Source organism: Homo sapiens, chromosome 5 (assembly GCF_000001405.40).
Source record: "Homo sapiens chromosome 5, GRCh38.p14 Primary Assembly".
Lineage (NCBI taxonomy): Eukaryota > Metazoa > Chordata > Mammalia > Primates > Hominidae > Homo > Homo sapiens.
The window spans coordinates 135,848,958-135,873,190 of NC_000005.10; the positions used below are offsets into that span (position 1 = coordinate 135,848,958).

The 24,233-nt window shown below is 47.0% G+C and overlaps 1 protein-coding gene across 19 annotated transcripts in view; it reads left to right on the forward strand.

Annotated features, from left to right (window-relative positions):
• The window catches only part of SLC25A48 (solute carrier family 25 member 48), a 309,466-nt gene that overhangs the window by 269,786 nt on the left and 15,447 nt on the right, over positions 1-24,233 (forward strand). For 13 of the 19 annotated variants that reach the window (NR_146141.2, NM_001349335.2, NM_001349336.2 and 10 more), the window contains 3 exons: positions 1,468-1,539; positions 3,606-3,864; positions 22,504-22,761. Coding sequence is in view for 18 of the 19 variants with exons in the window: in NM_001349336.2 (NP_001336265.1) it covers positions 1,468-1,539; positions 3,606-3,864; positions 22,504-22,761 (589 nt within the window). In the remaining variant the exon portion in view is untranslated. The remainder of the gene's footprint in view (positions 1-1,467; positions 1,540-3,605; positions 3,865-22,503; positions 22,762-24,233) is intronic. The other 6 variants (NM_001349345.2, NM_145282.5, XM_017009091.2 and 3 more) reach the window with 1 other exon arrangement.

Here is a 24,233-nt window from a genome sequence, read left to right on the forward strand (position 1 = left end):
TTTAGCCTTACATGTGACATTAATTTGTTGTTGTTGTTTTTGAGAGAATTTATTTCCATACGAGTTGTGTACTTAACATTAGTTTTAAACTACATAAATTAAAAATAATGAAAGTAACATCTGCTTATCGTAGGAAAGTTGGAAAATACAGAAAAGTCCCATGCAGGAAAACATCGCCTGTGATCTTCACCTCTGAGATCACCATTTTAACTATATGTACTCTTCCAGGGCCTCCTCCACTTGTCTACAGAGCTGATCTCAGGCAGTTCATGTGAAGAGCTAGCCTGCTTTTCTGGGTCTCAGCCCCTCACTGCACACTGGGTTCCATGGGGATGGGCCAGTATCTCCTCTTTGGTGGTCTCATGGCTCCTTCATGCCCAGGCATGACATGCTGTGTGTGCTGACAAAGTGTTTTGATGGAGAATTATAGGCTGCACGTCTTAAAAGAAGTGGAACCCTCTAAGACTAGGGCAGGGGTACTCTTCGGTGGGCTTACTCAGACCCTCTATGCCTGTCAGCTCCTGCCCCTGGTCACCAAAGCCAGCTTCCATCAGAGGCCACCACACATTAGCCATACAGTCCTTGTTCAGTCAGTGCAAAGGGGCCACTATGCCAGGGTTGTGCCCAGCTCTGGGGATGGAAGGAAAGTAACACAGGTGGTCCTACCCTAGTTGGGTGGTCCTACATAAACTCTATATAATCAAATACATAGGGCCACTGCGACATTTCGACTCAGACCTAAAAGATGAGCAGGAGCTGGAGGAAGAGCCTTCCAGAAGTGGGGAACAGCAGGGGCAGCTGGCTGGAGGCAGGAAAGAATTGCTGCTCTAGGGTCTGGGAACATGCAACTCATGCAGGGCTCAGGGAGAGGAGATGGCATGTGGGGTGAGAGACAGGTGCCTCCCAGGCTCAGGGAGAATGCAGAATTTATCCTACATTTGATGGGAGGCCACTGGAGGCTTCATTGACCTTTGAAAATGATCAGTCTGCCTGTTGTGTAAAGAGAAATGGAGGAAGTGAGGGAGAAGCAGGAGACCAGGGAGGGCTTCAGGCCATGTTTCTGGTGAGGATGAGGGGTGAGGCCTAGGGTGGTGGTTCTAGGGACAAGAAGAGCAGGTGTCCCCCAAATATATTTTGGAGGGTGGAGCGACAGACAGCAGATAGGGTAGAGTCCCAGTTTAGGTTTTTGTACTCAAGAGGTGGGGATCATACAATCATTCGGCACAACTAGCTGGCCTTTGCCATTCTCTCAGCAAAGCAGGCTTCTCTGCATTGAGTGAGTCTGAATGGGACATTAGAGGGAGGCAGTGCAAGCTGGAGACAGGGCACCAGCCTGGCCAGGACTGAAACCCAGACCCTTTGCTGGCGGGGGTCACTATGAGCAGGGCCTTTCCCTCTGGGCATCTCCGGAGCAGTGGGGCTATGAATAACCTCTGCGCTGACCCATGTCCTTGCCTCTCTCCATAGACTCGCCTGCAGGCTGGCGTTGGCTACGGAAACACCCTCAGCTGCATCCGCGTGGTGTACAGGAGGGAGAGTGTAAGTGCCCCTTGGGCGGGTGGAGTGATGCCTGCCTGGGCCCCCACAGGCTGGGGACCAGGGCCACAGCCCCACACCAGCATGCAGGTGGGGGCCTCTCATCCTGCTCTTCACACTCAGCTTGATTTTCCCTACTTCATCTCACACCACACCTCAAATATTATGTGTTACCTAAACTCACCCCTGCCACTACCACAGCATAACTGAGGAAAAACTCCAGTTGTGTGTAACCTCTGTGGAGAAATCCTGAAGAATCTGGAGCTGCAGTGTGGAAAATTCCTGCAAAAACAAGGTGATGGCTCAGTTTTTCACAAAGGAATGAGTGACTGGCAAACCGTGTGCTGATAGACCTCCCTTTATCTGGCCCGGCCGGAGCCAGATGTGTCTGAGCCTAGACACCAGAGTTTACCTGCGCCCAGGTCACTTTAGACCATGCGACCTGAGGTATTCCTTTTCCGAAGGGAAAACTGAATGATGCTTTGTAGAAGATGCATCAGGCTCCCTTCTTGAGAATCAGCATGTGCTTCAGGAAAACTTTCTGAGGCCCCTCTTTGTGGAATTTAGAATAAATTTTAAAATTTTGAATGAAATGACCTGATTTAAAGAAACCATCAGGTGGAACCCTGTCGCAGCCCTCTGACTTTTCCCTGAGTCACTGGAAATGTGGTCCCACTGTAGCCATTGTCTCCACCGGACTCCATCCTAACAAGTGTCCTGGGGCTCGGAAGCCTCCTGCAGGCACCTAGAGTTTTCCCACGGATGAAGTGTGTCTTGCGTCAGGGTGGTGGTGTAACTCCCTTGATCGGCTGCTTTAAAATTGGGGCGAGCGCTGCAAGCCCAGCACTTGGTGTTCCCGGGTGATGCTGTGGGAGTCCACAGTCCCCTGAAAGCGGCTGTTGATTCTCCTTTTGGCACATGTTCCCGACAGTGTCTGCCAGTCTGTGTCCAAGCTCTGGGGTTTTGGTGGGGACTGCGGGCGGTTTCTCTGAGACATAGCAGCCCATGGCTAAGCCACATCCCAAGTTATCTGAAGGATCTTGTGATGGAAGAAGAGCATGAAGCAGGGTGTGTTCACGTGTGTGTGTGTGCATACGTGTGTATATATGCGTGTGTGTGCGTGTGCAGGTGTGTGTGAGGCATCCTGCCTCTGGCAGCCAGGGTACAGTGTGCGCAGTGAGGACTAGTGGGTTTGTGCACAGCCTGGAGTCTGCACAATAGCTTCCCAGTACTTTCTCACATTTGATTTGGCACGCGTGTGCTGCCCTGACTCCTCCAAGGGCCTGTGGAATTTTCCGGTTTTCCTCAGCACATCTGTGGTGTTCATCAAGAATGCCGTGTGGAAGGGACCGAACCCGGCCTGCAGCACCCCCTCCTCAGCCTCCTGCAGCCTGTGTGTGCGCATCCTGTGTCCTTATGTGGCCCCTTCAGCCACTTCTGTCAGAAGACACCCATGCTCATGGGCACTCATCTAGAGGCTGGCCCAGGCACCCCTCGGGGGTCTAGGGAACCCCTGTCTTACACCACAGGCTTAGTAGACTGCCTTTGTTGTAACTGCCTGTCAATTTGTCTGTTCCACACCTCACTTTCCCCAGATTATGAGCTCAGTGAGGGCGGAGGCTGTTTCTTCCTTATGGTTGCTCCCCAGGGCCTGGCCCCTGGCCAGTGCCTGGAGAATGTTTCTGTTGTGGTATATGAGGTGGGGGCGTGTGGTGCTTGGCCAGCCCACTGCTCCTAAGGTCTCCTCAGGATCCCCCTTGGCCACAGCCTGACTTCTTTCCAGCCCAAGATCACTGCCCCTCCCGGCGCATGCATGGCATGTGTGGGTTCCAGGCCAGGACACAACCCACAGGAAACAAAGCGGCCTGCAGAAGCCGGGCTGTCCTCGGAGCAAGAATGCCTGCCCCTGAGTGGTTCCCCACCCCCTACCTCCTGTCGCATCAGCACCCTCTTCCCCTCTCTTCATGGACACATGGGCAGATGTGTCCGGTGGTGTACCCCGTCAGCCTGCAGGCTCTGCGACGGCAGCCCGGGGTCCTCACGCCTCTTCCTTCTGGTTTTCACTGCAGATGTTCGGCTTCTTCAAGGGCATGTCCTTCCCCCTCGCCAGCATTGCCGTCTACAACTCCGTGGTGTTTGGGGTCTTCAGTAACACGCAGCGGTTCCTCAGCCAGCACCGCTGCGGGGAGCCAGAGGCCAGTCCTCCCCGCACGCTGTCAGACCTGCTCCTGGCCAGCATGGTGGCCGGCGTGGTCTCTGTCGGGCTGGGAGGGCCCGTGGACCTCATCAAGATCCGGTTGCAGATGCAGACACAACCGTTTCGGGACGGTAAGAGGCCAGGGGAGCGGAGGCTGGTGTCTGGGACTTGTGGCCCTTTCCTGGTTTGTGGGATCTGGGACATGGTTGTTAAAATCCTTTTATTGAGCAAGGCATCTACCTTGTCACCTAGTAGTCCGTAATTACAGGCATACCTCGGAGACATGGGTTTGGTTCCAGACCACTGCAATAATGCAAATATCACAATAAAAGTCACATGAACTTTTTGGTTTCCCAGTGCATTTAAAGTTATGTTTAGACTATACTGTAGTCTAAGTGTGCAATGGCATTATGTTTTAAATAAGTATATATACCTTAATTAAAAAATACTTTAGTACTAAAAATTATTGACAATTATCTGAGTATTCAGCGAGTCGTAATCTTTCTGCCAGAGGAGGGTCTTGCCTCGATGTTGATGGCTGCTGACTGATCAGGGTTGTTGTTGCTGAAGGTTGGGTGGGCTGTGGCAATTTCTTAAAATAAGACAACAATGAAGTTTGCCATATCCATTGACTTCCTTTCACCAAAGTTTTCTCTATAGCATGAGACGCTGTTTGATGGCATTTTACCCACAGTAGAACTTCTTTCAAAATTGGAGTCAGTCCTCTCAAACCCTGACGCTGCTTTATCAGCTAAGTTTATGGATATTCTAAATCCTTTGCTGTCATTTTAACAACATTCACAGAATCTTCACCACTAGTAGATTTCATCTGAAGAAAAACTGTCTTTCTCATCCATAAGAAGTAACTCTTCATCCGTTAAATATTATCATGAGATTGCACCATTCAGCCCCATCTTCAGCCTCTACTTCTCATTCTAGTTCTCTTGCTTTCTCCATCACATCTACAGTTCCTTCCTCCATGGAAGCCTTGAAGCTCTTGAAATTATCTGTGAGGGTTGGGGTTAACTACTTCCAAACTCTTGTTAACATTGCTATTTTGACCTCCTCCCATGAACCCCAAATGCTCTTAAGAGCATCTAGAATGGTGAATTTTTTCCAGAAGGTTTTTCAATTTGCTTGGTTCAAATACATCAGAAAAATGACTATCTATGGCAACTATAGCCTTAAGAAATATACTTCTTAAGTAACAAGACTTGGAAGTCAAAATCACTCCTTGATTCACGGGCTGCCGAATGGATGCTGTGTTAGCAGGCCTGGAAACAACATTCATCTCCTTGTGTATCTCCACCAGAACTCTTGGGTGACCAGGTGCATTGTCAATGAGCAGTAATATTTTGAAAGGAATATTCTTTTCTGAGCAGTAGGTCTCAACAGCGGACCTAAAATACTCAGGAAACCATGCTGTAAACAGATGTGCTGTCATCCAGGCCTTGTTGTTCCTTTTCTAGAACACACAGAGCAGATTGATTGTCATTCTTAAAGGCCCTAGGATTTTCAGAATGGTAAGTGAGCACTGGGTTCAACTTAAAGTCACCAGCTGCATTAGTCCCTAACAAGAGAGTCAGCCTGTCTTTTGAAACTTCAAAGCCAGGCATTGACGTCTCCTCTCTAGCTATGAAGTCCTGAAGTCATCTTTTTCCAATAGAAGGCTGTTTTGTCTACATTGAAAACCTGTTGTTGAGTATAGTCATGTTCATCAATTCTCTTAGCTAGATCTTCTGGATAACTTGCTGCAGGCTCTACATCAGCACTTGCTGCTTCACCTTGCACTTTTATGTTGTGGAGATGGCTTCTCTCCTTAAACCTCATGAACCAACCACTGCCAGCTTCAAACTTTTCTTCTGCAGCTTCCTCACCTCTCTCCACCTTCAGAGAATTGAGGAGAGTTATGTCCTTTCTCTGAGTTAGGCTTTGGCTTAAGGGAAAGTTGTGGCTCATTTGATGTTCTATCCAGACTACTCAAACTTTCTTCATACCAGCAATAAGGATATTTCACTATCTTATTATTTGTGTGTTCATTGGAGTAGTGCTTTTAATTTTCTTCAAGCATTTTTCCTTTGCATTCACAACCTGGCTAACTCTTGGGCAAAAGAGGCTTAGCTTTTGACCTGTCTCCGCTTTCAACATGACTTCCTCACTAAGTTTAATCATCTCTAGCTTTTGATTTAAAGTGAGACATCTATGAGTCTTCCTTTGACTTGAACACTTAGAGGTCATTGTAGAATTACAAACTGGCCTAATTTCAAGTTGTTGTGTCTCAGGAAACAGGGCAGCCTGAGGAGAGGGAGAGAGATAGGGAATGGCTGGCTTGTCAGTGGAGCAGTCAGAGCAACCATGATTAAGCTGACTCTCTTATATGGACACAGCTTGTTGTACCCCCAAACAATGACATTAGTAGCATCAAAGATCACAGATCATCATAACAGATATAATGATTATGACAAGGTTGAAAATATTGTGAGAATTATGAAAATGTGACATAGAGATAGGAAGTGAGCACATACTGTTAGACAAATGGTGCCGATAGCCTTGCTGGACTCAAGCTGACCACAAACCTTCAATTTGTAAAAAATGAAATATCTGGGAAGTGAAATGAAGTGAAGTACAATCAAACAAGGTGTGGTTTTATTACTATTTAACCTGATGCAGTAACTGTCATTGATTAAGTATTTGGTATGTGGCAGGTACTCTCTAGGACCTTTGCATATGTTCTCATAATTCATCTTGTAACAATTCTGTGAGGCAGATGCTGCTATCTCCATTTTACAGATGAGAAAACAGGCTCCCAGAGGTTAAGGTAGTTACTCAAGAACACACGATTAGCCACTGGTGAGTGAGAGCCACCAGTGAGAGTGAGGCATGGGAGGTTTCTGCAGGCAAATATTGCAGTACCCAGTGCAAAATGCTAAGGCCCCTTGTTCAAAAATTATGCCATATTTTACAATGGCAACAGCAAAGCACTAAGCCAAGCATGGTGCTTGTGTGAACACACTGGTCTCATCTGCACGAAGCTAGCCCCAGCTGAGCTGGGACTCATACGCATGTATGTCTCATCCAAAAGCCCAGAGTCCCGATCTCACCTGGCCCACATGCCAGGAAGTGCAGCAGGCGAGGCCTTGCTCCTGACCACCTGTCTCCTGCCCTTACCCACCCTTGCCTGTCCTTCAGCCCTTGCCTTTCCTGTTAGAGCTTCACTTCTTGTTGTGCGATGTAGCAATTTCTGCACCACAAACCCTCATCTCTCGTTCCTCCTTGCTGGGAAAGAGTTTTTTGCATCTTTCCTGGCAGTGGCTTTCCCAAAGGAGGGTAGAAAAAACAGGAAGGCACTTGCTGTGCAGAGCAGAGAGAGTGCCGGCTTTGGAGGAAGGATAGGCTTGCAGTGGTAGGAGACGTATTTCAGTACCTTGAGGTACTTTGATTCTCAGCTCTACCACTCAGTTCCCTGTCTCCTCAGGTTAGATACTGCCCTTCCTGAGGCTCATGCTCCTTTTCTGTGTAATGGAAAGGCTGGACCCATAGTCCTTTCCTGTGTAATGGAAGAAATGGACCCAGAGTCCTTTCCTGTCACCTCAGACATCTGATGGGGCTGACAGTCTCCAGCTTGATCTTGGCCCTTGTGGAGAAGACTCCTCTCCCTGGCAGCCTTCTGAGTAGCCCCTGTGTGACCCCTCTGCCCAGGGAGGCTGGGTTTCAGCATGTATCATGGTCAGAGCCCCAGCAGCTCACTCAGGAGCATCCCAGCCTAGCATCTCCTGCCCCAGCCCCGGAGCTGCCCAGGACAGGGTCTGCACATGCTCTAAGCATGGTGCTGCTGCTCCTTGCTGGGGTGCATGGAGGGCCTGAGGCCTGGCTGCCCCAAGGCTGTGTGTCACATGCCCCAAGGCTCATGGCCACTGCAGCACGTGGGGAGACGCAGGAAAACAAATGGGGCCATCAGGGAGACACAGGGCCGGCAGTTCTTCACCTTCATCTTCAGCATATTGGGTCATGTCTTGGCACAATTCAATTTGATTCAAGGGTGGCACCTCTGAGGAATGTTTGAACTTTGCTGATCTGTCCCATCCCAGAGGCATAAGCAAAGATGTAGAGGAATGAAGGCTGTCATGAGCAGGCTGAGAACCCAGGCATCCAGGCCCCTGTGCTGGCTCTTTGCTCTATCCCGACTGCTTCAGAAAAGCTTGCCTTAGGGGAAAGGAAATCTCCATACGTCTTAAAACTGTTTGGGGTTCGGTTGTTGGAAAAGGCTCAGCAATGAGGCTTTTTGGCTGCTGGAAGCAGCCCCGCCTCCTTTACCACCTGGCACCTTGTCCCTGGAAGGGGAGGAAATGGGGGTAGCTTTGCGAATATCTGTTTGCAAGTATCTGTTGGGGGCCCTCACCCAGCTGGGACGCCAAGGGAGGTGTTTCCCAATAAATACTTTCCTTAAGAAGGTCTGGGACATTTGAAGGTTTCTTGACAACTTTTTGTTCTATCCTCTGTCCTGCCCACCTCCACTCCAGCTTTCCCTGTACAGTATGCTAGAATGGTGTCATACCAGGCCCTGAGTGATAGGGGATTCTGAAGCTAGGCTAGAAGCATTTGGAGACTAGAGGAAGAATGGGAGGCAGCCAAGGGAGTGGCTGAATCCAAGCATGGCCTCCAAGCAGGGTGCACAGCTCCTGGCCAGTGTTAGGGAGCTGAGCAGCCACCATTAGCAGCTGCCAATGTGACATGCTCACTCTATACCAGACACCACATAAGGTACTGTCCACCCATCACCTTCTTTAATATCCACCATTACAGCATGAGGCAGATATGATTGCCATCTCTGTTCACGTATCTCCAAGATGATAGTTATGCACCTACTGGGTGCCAGGCACAGGGCTATGTGCTGAGAATGCAGTGGTGAACAAAAGACTGCATCCTGTCTCTGTTACAGTGTGGCATCCAGCTGAGAGCCAGAGAGGAACTGGGTGCCTACAAACCATGGTGGTAGGGAAATACAATGGGCTGTCAGGCTGGAGTCAAGGAGGGTTTGGGAGCAGGGTGGGAGAAGGGCTGGGAGGAAAGCCTGGAGGTCAGGGCTGTGCACCTGCCCAGGTAGTGCTGAGGGCCACTCAGGTCTGCCTTGCCTAGGTATGGGAGCCTGAGATATGGCCTACCTGGGGACCTTCAGATCTCTCATCAGGGAAGTCCTTAAAGGGATCCTTAAAGGGCCTTAAAGGGCCCTTTACCACCTGGCACCTGTCCTTAAAGGGCCCTGTCTTTTGGGTAAGCCTCTGAGCAGTGAGAACACAGGGACCCTGTCCTTCCACCATGGGGAGGTGCTGACATGTCTCAGGATAGGTAAGATTCCCCGAGCCTCCTGTATGGCAATCTGCCCATGGCCTGTGCCTTCAGGTTGTTTATTTGTCTGTGGTGCCAGAAGGAAACCAGTTCTCTTAAATAAACCCCCGAGGCAGCAACAGAAAATGAACATGTGTTTGTTCTGTTCTTCCCTGTGTGCCAGGAGACCAGCCTTTTGGGAGCTTGGAGAAGGCTCTTAGTAAGAGGCATGGAGGTTTCTGCAGGCAAATATTTCTCAACCCTGCAAAGCTTTGAGCCATTAGAACCTGGGCTCATCGGCTTAGCACAAAGAGCAAAGCCAAAGCCAAAGATGGTTCACCAAGTGCATGGAGGGAGAGTAAAAGCCAAGATTGGAGGACCCACCTCTGCCGTGCCCCCACAAGTTTCTGTGATCTGGACTGAATAAGAATGGTCTTGGCAGTAGTGGCTGAGTGGCCAGTGTTTACTGAACCCTAATTGTGTGCCAAACACAATGCTAGGAGCTTGGCATATGTTTAATCTTCACAACAACCCAATTCCTGGGGATTTACTATGGGGAGACTGAGGAACAAAGAGGTTTCATACCCCCAGGTCCCTCCCTTAGTGGGAGGTGGAGGAGGTCTGATTCAGAGGCACTGATGCTTTCTCTGCTTTTGCCCCAGGATTTGTAGAAGCTGAGGTTATGACAACGTTGATAACATTGGGCCACCTGGGCCTTTGCGCAAAATTGTCATGCACACAAATAGCTTCAAACTTTAGGGAGAAGTGAGCTGGGAGCATGTCCCCAAAATGACGTTGTCCAAGTAATGGGCACAGCTTGTGGGTTCCAAGGGTTGGGTGTGAATTCTGTGGGATCGGGCTGCCCCCTCTGATCTCCCTTGCCCTCAGTTGCTTGGGGGAAGGAATTTGGTGGCAGCAGGTGCTAGACAGGATCAACTACTGGAGAAGGGAGGGGAGGCTGACAAAAAGTCACCAGGCAGTGTTTTCTGCCAGGAATCCCTCCAGAAAATGAGAAGGAATGTGGTTTTCTTTCAATTGCTCCTCAGGAACCCTCTAGGCTAGAGATAGAAAACTCAGAGACTCATCACGACAGGGAGCTAACATACATGTAACCTCCTATATTAGTCCAATCTCTTGCCACTAATAAAGACATGCCTGAGACTGGGTAATTCATAAAGAAAAGAGGTTTAATTGACTCACAGTTCCACATGGCTGGGGAGGCCTCACAAGCATGGCAGAAGGTGAAGGAGGAGCAAAGTCACGTCTTACATGGCAGCAGGCAAGAGAGTGTGTGCCAGAGAACTCTCATTTATAAAACCATCAGATCTCATGAGACTTACTCACTATCATGAGAACAGCATGGGAAAGACCCCACCCCCATGATTCAATTACCTCCTACCAGATCCCTCCCATGACACATGGGGATTATGGGAGCTACAATTCAAGATGAGATTTGGGTAGAGACACAGCCAAATCATATCGCCTCCCCTGGCATTGCAGTAAATACAGAGTTTATTTGACACAAGGCCAGCCACACCACGTGGGAGACAGAGTTATTCCTCAAATCAATCTCATAGGAGGCTTATAAGTTAGGGCTTTTTCAAAGGCAGTTTGTGGGAAGGGATGGAGATGGCTAGGCAATGGGTGCTTGCTGCTGATTGGTTGGCATGCAATCATAGAGGTGTGGAAAATTGTCCTCCTATGCACATTGTTGCTTCTGGGTGAGGCCACAGGAGCAGGGTTTGTGGGTCCAGGAGCAGGGCTGGTGAGTTGGTGCCACTGGTGTCAGACATGCAAAAAGCCTGAAAAGATACCTCAAAGGGCAAATCTTAGGTTTCACAATACTGATTACTCCTGCAGTGATGTTATCGGCAGGAGTAATTGGGGAAGTTTGCATATCTTGTGACCTCCTAAATAATGGCTGGCAATCCTTTATGTCTATACCTTAGCAGAATTCAGGCTCCTCTCCTCCATACCTTAGCAGAATTCAGGCTCCTCTCCTCCCTCTAGCCTGTTGACCTCTCATTACTTTTAGGGAAGGGCGATTATCATTTAAAGTATAAACTAAATGTCTGGCAAAGTTAGCTCAGCCTAAGCCAAGAAATAATCAAGGCAGCTTGAAGGATAAAGTCAAAAGGGGGATTGGCTAGATTAGGTTGCCCCCACTGCCATAATTTTCTCACTGATCTAATTTTTGCAAAGGTAGTTTCATAAGTGAGAAGAGGTGTCTGGGGAAGTGAATCCTCTCCCATTTTTCTTGAGACCACAGCTCTCCTAATCTATGTTTCATTTTTCCTCTTTCGATTGAAACCTGGACACAGAACATATTTTATCTTCTGCCTCATTCTGCTATTAGAAAAGCAGTAGTTCAAGCCTGATGTGTAAGCTTCAGTGTCTGAGAGGCAGCTGGGAGTGGTGGGGACTGTGGCAAGCTGGGCCCACATCCTGTCCAAGGGAGTGGTCACAACCCCACTTTATCGGACTGTTGCCCTGTGGCCTGATGTGCTTGGATCCTCCGATTTTTAAGAGAAGGCAAAAAGGTAGATTTTTTTCATGAGATATTTTGGTTGGAATGATCATGTAATTCAGTGAAAACCAAACAGAACACCATAGAGCCCAAGGCTGTGTGAATTGCATAGAATGGGGCTGGGGCTGGCTGCAGTCCTGTGGTCTGCGCCCTGGGTCAGTCCCAATCCATGTGTTGACTGTGCTCATGTGGGCATTTCTAGGCAGCCTTGGGCAGGGCTTTTGAGACTGATTGGGTTTTGTGGTTCTGCCTCAGGATTGCCAGTCCACTTCCAGGGCGATCCTATGTGATATGAGAGACAGCACTCACATACGGAAGCCAGGTGCCAAGAGGCCTCTGGCTTCTTCGCTCTGGTACATATGACAGGTGGACTGGGGGCCACATTGAGGTGAGAGCCCAGCTCAGGTGGTTGGGGGACTGGCAAATATATAGCCAGTGTATATTCAGCCAGCCCCTCCTGATTGTCTCTTAGTGGTGATCCATGGTTAAAAATCTACAAGCTACAGAACATTGAAAGTAGAGGTAGAAAGTGCCCATTCATGCAATTACAACCACTGGTAACACATTAATGTGTTTATTTTTCCATTCTGTATACATAGATTAAAGATTTTAAGAAGCTGTGATCATGCTATATGGACAATTTCATGTCCTGTTTTTAACTCAGCATTATAATAGAAACACTAACCATGTTATTAAAATAGCATATAAAATTTTTTTAAGTAGATGGGCAATATTTAAAATGGATGTGCACTAGTCCATCAAATACACACGCACACACACACACACACACACACACACACTGAAAGAGTCTATGTAGTATGGTAAAAATTAAGCTTCCAGAATTAGACTACCTGCTTATAATTCTACTTCCACTGAACCCAAAAAAGGTTAGACAGCTCACCTAATGTCACCAAGCCTCAGTTAACTCATCTGCAAAGCAGGCATAACTATAGTAGCTACTTTATAGCTGGGATGCAATGAAATGTATTATACATGAAGACCTCAGCACAATGTCTGGCATATAGAAAATGTGAAATAAATGTTAATTATCAGTAAATGTATTATTTAACAATCTTCCTAATGGTGAATATTTAGGTTGTTTACAGTTTTTCCTCTTTTAAAAATAGTGGTATGATCAGCGAATATATTCATAAAGAGTTCTCTTTATTTAGGGTTATTTCCCTAAATGTGTGGGCTCTTTGATTCATGAGTGGGATAAGGGGTGTGGCCATTTTTAACATTCTTGGTACATATTGTGAAATTGTTATCCAGAAGAGTTTTACCAAATCATATAAGCAGTTGCTTACATTTAAAGGGAATTTCCATTTGACACTGACTACCATTGCACAATAACCAGTAGTTATGCCCCCATGTAAATGCTTCCAAATTAACAGAGGTATTCTCCTGGGGCCTCTGCCACTTGGCAAGCAAGGAGACATTGGCCTGTGTTCAGTTGTATGTGCCTGTGACAGTAAGGCACCTGTGAAAAAACCCTTCCTTTTAAAATCACTGCCCTTTGCATGGGCATGAGCCTAACTAGGTGGCCTGTTGGGCATGAGCCTAACTAGGTGGCCTGTTGGGCATAAGCCTAACTAGGTGGCCTGTTGAGCCTGAGCTAGAAGTCAGGGCTGTGACCCTGCAGACCAGTAGTCCCTTTGCTGCCTGAGCCATGTCCTTCCTAGAAGTTCATGGCTAATGACACTCACTCCTCCCCCATCTGGGAGTGTTTAGATCTGTTTTTCCATTGAAAGACTAATTAATGTGCAGATCACAAAGCCCTCCACATAACAGGAGGTTGGAGTTGGGAGGATCAGGGAAGGACTGAACATTAACTCTGTGCTGACTATCCTAATCATTGCACCAGGCCCAACTGGAGGCAAGGAGATGAGTGTTTACACCTGTTTGAATTCACTGTGAACTGTTCATTCACAAGCATTTCCTGAGCCCCTGCTTTGAGGCAGACACAGTGGGTAAAGAAGCGCTGGAAGCCACAGCCTTCAGGGTGTCCACAGTCTAGTGGGGAGCCAGATGTGTGCTTCAATGAGAAAGGCCTCAGGAAAGTCTTTGGAACCCCTGACTCTGGCTTGGTGGATCAGGAAGCCTCCAGAAAGGAAGAGGCTGTTGATCGGGTTTTTTAGTTCTACGTAGCATTTAGAGATGGGGACATGGGATGGCGAAGTGTTTTAATACTGTGGGAACAACATAGGGGAAGATTTAGTGGCAGGAAAATGTAGGCACATGGTGGGACAAGGGAGCCTTTGGTTAGCACAGACAAGCAATGCAGGGATGGTGGGGGTTTTGGAAGATGTGGAGTAAGTTGGGAAGCGCTTGGATTTCTTCGCTGAGGATAGGCTTAGATTATATTCAGCAGGCAGTGAAGCACTTTGGACACCAGAATGATGCAATCAGAGTGGTGTTGGAGAAGAGAAAACTGGCCTCTGGAAGGGGCAGAAGAGTGGTGGGAATTGTAGAAGTGGGTAGATTGATTTGAAGGCTATAGCCACAGACCTGGGGCCCTGGGCTTGGGAACAGAGACAGGTGGCAGATGCAGAGGCCCTGATGATATAGAAGCAGCAGGCCAAGCATTAGGCATAAGCAGGAGAGAGGAAAGTGTCAAAAATGACCAAAGACCCCAAAGTTGGATGACAATGAGACAAGTGGAACCCCCCACACAGGGAATTAAGTAGCAAATGAAACATCTAAGACGGTTCTTGGCATGGAGCAGGTAATCAATCAATGCTTACTGTGGCTGCTGCTGGAGGGGCAGACTTGAGTGAGAAGAGGATGAGTTTTGCCTGGTCTATGTAGTGTGAGGTGCCTGTGAGATTGCACCTGGAAGCATCAGGGCTGCAGGTAGAGGCACAAGTGCAATAGGCATAGAAGTGACAGTTGAGGTCATAACATTAGATGCAAACACCAAGCGAGCTGCAAATAAGGCAGAGGATGGCAGCAAAGAGAAGACTTAGTGAAGGAATTTGGGAAGAAGCAGAGAGTTACAGTAACACTAATAACTGCAGTTAAAATTATCGAGCTCATACCATGTATTGAGCTATACCACGTTAATGCCCATTCCATTATCATCACAGCAACCCTATGAAATAGGCCCACTTATCATCTTTATTTTACAGGTGAGAAAACCGAGGCTGAATTACATAATTTGTCCATGCTCACATAACTATCCCTTGGGGAGGTGGGGAATTACCCCAGGCTGTGCAACTCTATGACCCCTAGAAACTGAGTCCTGAGAAACTGGTGTTACTGAAGTAGGAGGAAGGAGCATGTGGAGGGGAAAAATGCTAAAGTTGGGGTGATGATGGGGACAGAGACAGAGGGCAATGGAGAAGGAAAAGGCGTTCATTTCCAAGTTGGGAGAGAAGAAGAAAGAAAGTAAAAATGCAGAGAGATTCTTGAGGGCAAGTGGGAGGAAGTTGAGGGAATTGATGTCAGAAGCCCTGGCTCCATCATACTGAAGACCATATGGATAGAAAGGAATCAGAGTGGGGCCAGGATTTGAGGTGAAGAAGGTTCTAATTTCTGGACATGACAAGAGCAGACAAGCTGGGCTGGATGGTAACAGCAGAGAGGGTCAGCCAAGAGGGGTCTCAGCCACAAAGCCATCTGAGCCCAAGAATCTGCATGGTGACAAAATAAGGCAAAAACATTTCTCTAGTTTCCCTGAATCCTCAGAGTTGCCTGGCTGGGAGGTCATCAGCTGTACCTCTGAGGCCCTGAGTGCATCCATTTGTCTCTTTAGCAATATTTTATTGCTACTTTGAAGATGTGTGGCAACCAAGGAAAATATTCTTCTCCAGGCAGGTTGACCTTGGGAAGGAACAGCAGATTTTCCAAGACTTTCCCAGTACAGGGTAGGGGTTATTGATGTTAAGATCCCTGAAGGGACACACAACCCTTAAAGATGAAACCTTATGTAGAAAGGCAGGAACCCTTGGAGCATGAAAAGGGACCCAAAATCCTGAAGACAACCCAGGCCTGTATAGCCTGGGCCTTCTCAAGTAGGCTGTGGGTTGCCAACAGCAAGTGAGAGCTGGAGCAATGGCAGCCCAGGAGTGAAGGGAGGAGGTTTGTGGAGAGGCCAAGCATATGGCCATGCAGTTCCAAAGAAGTCCTTGTTCTGAACGGTTTGACTAGTTTGAACCCTTTGAACAGTTTGTCCTTTTCAAACAGTTGTCCCACATAGTTACCAGACATTAATGATAGTGCATATTACACCATTGTACAAATTACGTACATTGGTGACACATGGTTTATTTAAAGCAATTGACAACAGCAAGTATTGTCCTGATTTCTGGACTTAACACCAGTATTGGTCATTCTTGGCCCCATGTGGGCAACAGTGATCTCCCACAGTAGACTTGGCTGCAGGTCACAGCTGCCTGCAGTTGGCAGGTCTGGCACTTCCAGAATCCAGAGTCATATAAGGACATGGTGATAAAAATAGGAATAAGAACTATTTGCCTTGAGTAAGGGACATTTGCATGGCATGTATTTCAGTAAAGCACATTTGTCAATATTCCCTTTTCATGTTCATAAAAGCCAAATGAGGTGGACAGGCCACTTATTCTCTGCCTTTCACAGATCATGAGGAAACTAAGACCCAGTGAGATTGAATCTCTTGCATGGGGTTGTACATTAAGTAGCAACTGAATAGGAATGCAAATCCAGGGCTCTTTCTATGAAAGCATCTGCCTATCTTGGGCCTCTCACGTCATGAGGAAACTGCTGGACTCTTAGAAACAGGAACTAGGTAGGAGCTTCCCAGCTGGTAATATCCTGGGAAGTGATCTGAGGGGTCCACCAGCCTGCTCAAGCTCAAACCCAAACTGAGGATGTTACAGCCAGCCTGTCTGCTGGAGGATGTACAGCCATGTTACTGATGCTTCCATCAAATCTAAGCAGTGCTGTAGGTGGGACCCTGATTTTGGAATTTCCTTTAATATCTAAAGCCTCTGACCCAAGGATCAGTCAGGGCCAGACTTTTGATGAATGCCAAGGGTGTGAGTCTTGGGAGTGCTGAGACCTGCCTAAGTCAGGCGCTCCATTGTCCATGGAGTAGATGCTGAGATATATATGGGACTCGGGCCATAGTGTATGATTCCTGTCATCAGGAAACTCACCGCCACACTAAGGGCAAAACAACACACTCAGAAAACAGTAGCAACAGAGGCAAGCCATACTAGGGGGCACAGCCTCAGGCATGGGCTGTGGGGACCTTTTTCTAAGAGCGCCTTGTTAATATGGAAAATGTGGTCCAACCCATCGAACAGCAGCTGTACTTTTAAGAGTTCGTGGACTAAGAAAACAAATATGTAAGGAAGCTACTATGGATTACTAATATGTTTAAGTAAAATCTTATTGTGTTACCTGTGATAGTACCCACACATATGAGAAAAATGGGCACATATGTATGTGTGAGACATTGTAGGAATTCTGTCAATGCATAATGCTCATGGATTGTGGGGTGCCTTGAAATGACTCCCACTGGCTGAGCCTTACTGGAATAGAACCCTCGTGAAAACCCACACATCCCTGACTAGTGACCCATAGGGCCTCATTTGTGGATGGCTGATTTGTGAAGGATTTTCTGTAGAAAGTGGCCTCTTGAGAAATTATGCTGTGTTCCCTGTCCCACCACCCACATACCGACATACCCACACAGCAGAGGAGGCTGGGAGCACTTTCCCTTCCAGAGAGTGGCCAGGCCTTTGTGCTCCTGAGGGCCAGCCCTGCTCCCCTCAGTGGCCAGCCATTGTGTTTCTGCTGGCCTTACTGTTTCCAAGGTCATGGCCCATTGAAGACATTGAATAGCATTGACTGAGAAAGGAAAATAAATGGAACATCTTTGTGTTTGTGTCTGAGGAAGGCACAGTGACTTTCTGTGGCTGGGTCCCTGGGTTCTGGAAAAGGGGCAATAGTGGTAGAGCTGGTGTCTCCTGTCTGTGTCCAGCCCAGCTCAGCCCTTCTGAAGTTGGATGTCCCCTAAGAGATGGCTGTATTGGTACCTGTTAGGATTGGCCAAACCTGGACCTACAACCACCACACCCCAAAATAAAACTCCCTGAAGAGGCATCTACCTCTAAGGGACCTCCCAGGCCAAACAGGAGGCCAGCAGTAAGGCACTGGCACTTCACAGAGAGCTGCAGAGCCAGATAGCCATGGCCTGTGGCTTTAGGTGTGCTGGCCGGGACTGAGCTGGACAAGGCAGGAGGCCTGGGCCCTCCTCCACTTCCTACGGCAGTGGGTTGCTATTTTCATTGACTTTGAACATCTTGCTAGTCTTGGTTACATAGGTGCAGGGGGCCTGAGATAGCCCTAACTGAAGTTGGGGAAATGAAGGAAACCACATGCCTCCTGAGTTTTTGAGGTACATAATCTCTATCTATCCTAATAAAAGGTAGTATGCCCTTGATCTAGAGAGGCAGCAGTTTTTGAGGTACGTAATCCATATCTATCCTAATAAAAGGTAGTATGCCCTTGATCTAGAGAGGCAGCAAAAGTTGGTCTCAAATGCAAAGCATTCATGATTTTAAAAAGATCAAAATTTGATTAATGTTTTAATCCTCATTACAGAATAAAAAATTCTAATTAGAGAAATTAGGTACACTTCGCTTGAGAAGGATATATATCTAATGCCAATCCTTTCGCATATGCATGTACACCCTGAAGGTTCAGAAACAATGGGCTGGGAGTTGGCAGTTTCCTGTGAGCTGTGTCCTGATCCGGCACCTCGTAGTCTTCCTCAGGTTCCTTGGACAAAGGACTTGCAAGTCCAGAGATCTCAGTTGTGCATATTTCCAAGACTGACTTACCAGTAACTTTTCAAATCAGCTTTTAAGAGTCATCAAAATTGGGTTTTCACAAACTAAAATTGGTCCCATGGTATCAGAGTACCAAGAACTCCGATCCAGTGTTTTCCTGAGGCTATCTGCTGAGGCTCCTGGCAACCCCCCGGCTCTGCCACCCCCACAAGCCAGAGAGCACTTAGCACCACATGGGCCACTGGCGGAGATTTCTGCTGTTTTCCAGAAGAAGGCTCTTCTGTTTATTCATCAGCAGGGCTATCTTATACTGGTCATAGTTTTCTATGGCTCCTACTCTTGCTGTTGAATTGAAAATCAGTATTACTATAAGTGCATCATCATGTTAGGTTTGTTGGACTTTGGGCCTCACCAATGGTGGTGGTGTGGTGCATTTTTATCTCAGGTATATTTATGCTTGGAATTATAATAACTACCTTTGATGACATTCTGCTCTGTGGACCCAATATGAATCATCCATACCACTATTGGTAGTGCTAGTGCTGATGGACTTGTAAGTTACAACCACTGCCCCAGAGAAAGGTTGCTTCTCAATGAGTGACACCTCATGATATCACAGAGTTGTTTTACCTTGAAAATCAGGAGAGGATAGTTAGGCTGTGGAATCACTGCTCTCCCTAACTGGGCTGTAAACAAAACAGTTTATTTCAAATATGAGAAGTCACTTCCATTGTAGAGTGTGATGACATAGGTGAATGCAATTGTAAAAACTCATCAATCGTGCACTTGAAAGCTTTACCTTTTATTGAATACAAAGTATAGTTCAATTAAAAGACAAACTGACAAAAAACAAAAATAAGAGGCCAGAGGAGGAGAACAGGGGCTTTTGAGAATGAGACTTAAGAATGGGGAGGAGGTCCAGCCAAGAATGCATGACCACAATGTAATAAGGAAATGTCAGACAAACCCCGAATCAGGAAAGCTCTATTAACAAGCAGAGGGGTTGTGTACTCTTAAAAAATGTCAGTGTCACAAGAAACAAAGAAAGGCTATGGAAATGTTCCAGATTGAAGCACTGGATCCTGTCCTGGAGGGGAAAATGCTATAAAGGGCATGCATGAAGATCAAATGACAATTTGATCATAGATGGTAGATTAAAGTATTGTCAAAGTAGCTATATGAAACTGGTAATTGTGCTATAGTTATATAAGACAATATCTCCATTCTTAGGAAATATTTTTCAACATATTTAGGGGTAAAGACTCTTCAAGTATGTAACTCACCCAGAAATAGTTTAGAAAATGAAGTTATGTATGAATGTGTAAAAATACATCTATGTGTATACACACACACACACATACACACACACACACACACACACACATTCCCTATTGCTTACCTTGGGAAGAAAAGAAGAAAAAGGATAAGTTTGGGTCTTGTTGCCAAAGTCAGTTCAAGGTTTGACAGGTGTTTTTGCAACATCTGCACCTCCAAGCAGACACAATGTTACCAGAATCCCCTCTTTCAATCAATAACTCCTGAAAGCCACATCATACCCATAGCTGATTCATGAAAACCTTGACTCCTGGTCAGGTCACTCTTACCTGGAAATGAATGGGGCTTAGGCAAAGTTTAGACACTGGGACAATTATATCGATTCAGTTGAATTGAACACACACGAGTGAGAAGGGAGGGAAGTGAAGAGAGTGGGAGAGAGAACCCACAAACAATAAGCAAATGAGCTTATTTGCTTATTGTTAGCAATAGATAAATCTGGGTAAATTGTATGTATGGGCATTCTTTATACTATTTTGCTTTTTATACTTCTTTTGCAAATTTAGAATTATTTCCAAATAAAAAGTTTTTTCAAAAAAAAATATTGTGAATGAAGGAGCTAGAAAGAATTCCAAGAGCTTCACAGTATAAACTTGGGTCAGTTTGGAGCTGTGTCAGTATCCTGGTGATGGGAGTCACCATGATAATTATACTGCACTAACAGCCATAAATGGGTAATTCCAAAGCAATAAAAGCTAGATTGGTTATGTGGCAAACCTGGGAGAATGAGAGAGAATTTCCTTATTGCTTACTCCGCAGGGAAAAGGAAAACAGTACAGGATTTTTGTTGACAAGGCCAGTTGGAGGTTTGGTGGGTGTTTTCCCATCTGTACTTTCAAACAAGCAGAATGTTATCAAGATCCTCTCCCTCAGTCAGTAACTCCTGAAAGCCACTATTTACCCATAGTTGCTTCATGAAAACCTTGACTCCTGGGTCAAGTCAGTTTTGCCTGGAGATGAAAGCAGTTCAGGCAAAATTTATACATTGGGACAATGACATCTATTCTGTCTAACGGCAGAATTTCTCCAGATGAACCAGGCAGTAGCACCATGGGTCTGGAAGAGGAAGGGGTGCCTAGTGATCTCTCAGTGGGCTTTCAAAGGCCATCATGTCTGATCTTGCTCAGAGGGGTCTTGTGCCCCCAAAGGTGGCTACTACCCCGGCTCACCTCCTATGGGATCCACTGTGGAAGAAGTTGGCTCCATCTCCTGTCCACACTGAAGTTGGCCTAATGGATATGGCAGGGGTTTACTCCCTTCCCCACTGGAAGATGGAAAATACAGCATGGGTTTGTTCAAGCATACTTCCCAGGCACGCAGAAACCACCCCCTCAACCTCACCTGCTTCTGGGATGAGTTAAAGTACAGATTACACTTTATTCTCCAATCTCTAGACTGTGGAGTCATGAAGCCGAATGCTTCTAACCTTTCCTCTGATAAAGATGGACTGTTTGGGGGACTTGGACATTGACCTATATGATGAAAGCTGTCTGCCTGTTTACCAGCATGTGTAAAATCAGATTGGAACACTGTACAGAGAATTAAACTCAGGTGGCAAAATAGGCTTGTGGTCGCAGACACACTTTATTCTATTTCTTTCCTGGTCATGTCACATTATGTTATTTCCTGGAGAAGGGAAAGTCAAGAACAAGAGCCTACTTTATCTGCACTGGGTCTGGAAGTTCTGTCTGGTCATGAGTCAAAGCCTCATAGTAGAGAAGGATCCATAGCAGAGAAGGGTCCGTAGCAGAGAAGACAAGCATCAGAGTGGGAGATGGGTAGCAAATGAGAGAGAGGCAGAGTCTCAGCTGGCTATGTGCACCCCTAGAAGAAGCTGGAGACAAACAACCCCTGAGCTGCCAGCATAGACTACTGAGGTTAGACAAGAAGATAGCAGCCCTGGGTCCCAGGACTTTGAGGGGCCAAGAGCCCCAGTGCTGCCCTACAACTGTTTAGGGCACAGCCTGGCCAGGGCTGGAGTGAGTCACTGAGAATATACCCAGCTCTCCAACCTGTGGGTCCTGCCACCAATTCATGTCAGCAACCTTGGTCTCAGTTGATAACGTTTTAAGCCCCTACAATGTTCAAATCACCATGCTGAACACTGTACATGTATTACCTTATTTGCACTCATGACAAGCTCCCCCTCTTTTAACATAAGGAAATGGGCTGAAAATGCTGCCTTGCCAAGGTAAATTTCGAATTATTTCCAAATAATTTTAATAAAATTATTTATTTTATTTTTATAAAATTATAAATATTAAATTATAGATTTTAAATTTTATGTATAATTTATAAATTATTTTCAATAAGCGGTAGAGCTAGGATTTGCAGCCAGGACAGTCTGGCTCCAAATCTCATATACATTTTGCTCCGCCACACTGTGCATAAATAAATGTGTACACAGACACACACACACACACACACACACACACACACACACACACACACACACACAGCATGTTGGATTTTCTAGCTTCAAAGAAGAGCTTAGTGTGGCTTGTCATAATTGATTCTAGACATTCTGAAGTCACATTTGCTTCGAAAGAAGTAGTGGTATTGACCTAAAGTAACTGGTGTTCTATCACGTGGCTGAGATCGTCCCCAGTCTGGCTGTGTATATTGGCAGGGGCTCTTGTTGGGACCTCAGTATCCTGGTTTGAGCTGCCAAGAAGGTCAGATTTGGTAAAAGCTGATGGGCTACATGAGAGGGAACTGTCAAAGGGCTGGGCTGGCTCCAGTGTCACGGAATGTCCAGTCTCTTACACCCTGGGTCACTTGCCACCTTCTCTCCCCTGTCTTTGCAGCCAACCTCGGTTTGAAGTCCAGGGCAGTGGCTCCTGCGGAGCAGCCAGCATACCAGGGGCCAGTGCACTGCATTACAACCATTGTGAGGAATGAGGGCCTGGCGGGGCTATACCGGGGGGCCAGTGCCATGCTGCTGAGGGATGTCCCAGGCTATTGCCTCTACTTCATCCCCTACGTGTTCCTGAGTGAGTGGATCACACCTGAGGCCTGCACAGGCCCCAGCCCCTGTGCCGTGTGGCTGGCGGGCGGCATGGCAGGTAAGGGCAGCAGCAGCTGGAGCCGCACCCCTGTGCAGGCCACAGCAGTGGGACAGCTGGGGAACTGCCATGCCCTTCTCAGCCCAGGGGGAGGGCAGGACACATTTAGGTACTCACCCAACAATTCTTTGTTAGGTACCTACTCTGTCCCCGGCCCTCTCCCACCTCAGTCTCATCCCTTCCCTATGCAGCTATGAGAATGGCAGTTCCCATTTGACTTTCAGGCAACAGATATATTTTGAACACATACTCTGTGTCAGGCATTACTAAGCTTTGGAAAGGAAATCCATTATCATGGTTCAGTTTATTAAATGCAATCTTTGTAATGTAAGGATGCCATTAGTTCTACAAGGTAGGAATCGGTTTCCCCATTTCACAGATGAGAAAACTCAGGTCCAGAAATGTTAAGTAGCCAATCCCAGGTCATACAGCTGGAGCTGACAGTATAGCAGGACTCTGCAGTCAGAAAGATTTAAGTTCAAATCCACACTTCATCATTTTGTGACCATGGACTTGTTGCTTAACCTCCCTGCTCAGAATCCTGCACCACATCCTTCTTTCATTTAAGGTAAAAGTTGATATCTTTGCAATGGTTTTCCAGGCCCTCAGTGATCTAGCTCCCTGTTCCCCACCCACCTCACTTCTACTCCTCTCCCCTTCCTCACTTTCTCCAGTCACACTGGTCTCTGCTGCAACTTGACCATGCCTGGCCCTTCCCTGACCACAGGGCCTTTGTACCTGCTACTCACCACCTCCTGAATTTAACAACGTGGAGACCACTGGGGATTTTGGCAAGGGCCATTTGATGGAGAGAAGGGTGTAAAAACCTGATGAAGTGGGATAAAGAAAGAATGGGATGAAGGATATTGGTGCACCCAAGTATACACAACTCTTCTGAGGGTTCTGCTATGCTGTAATGAGGAACAGAGAAACAGAGCCATAGCCAGAAGGGCCTTTGGAAGCCAAGAGAGGATACTTTTTAAGAAGGCTGACATCATGACATGTTTGATGTGATGGGAAAGATCTAACAGAAAGAAGAAAATCATGAATCATCCTCCTCCTCCTGCTCCTCCTCCCTCTCTTTCTCCTCCTCATCATCACAGTTTGCCATGCTGTCAGCTCATAGCAGACATATAACGAAGCTCATGTCTTAGCCACCTAACTACAGTTTCACGTTCTGGCCCCCAGGTGCCTGTGCTCATGCCCAGCTCCTAGTAAGAGCTCAGTCAGTACCGACTGGCAGAGAGGACGGCAAGGCCCCATTTGCTCTCACTTTTGCAGAGAGCAGGTGTGAATGGCCTGGCAGGCAAATCCCGTTTTGTGATGCCCTCACCCATGGGCTGAGGGGCAAGGGAGTGCACCAGGGCAGCACCTGGGGAAGTGGCCCCATTGTCCTGGCAGAAGGCACAGGTTTAGAGAGGCTCCTGGAGGACCAAGGGCAGGAGGCTGAGGGGACCAGAGGCCAGGATAGG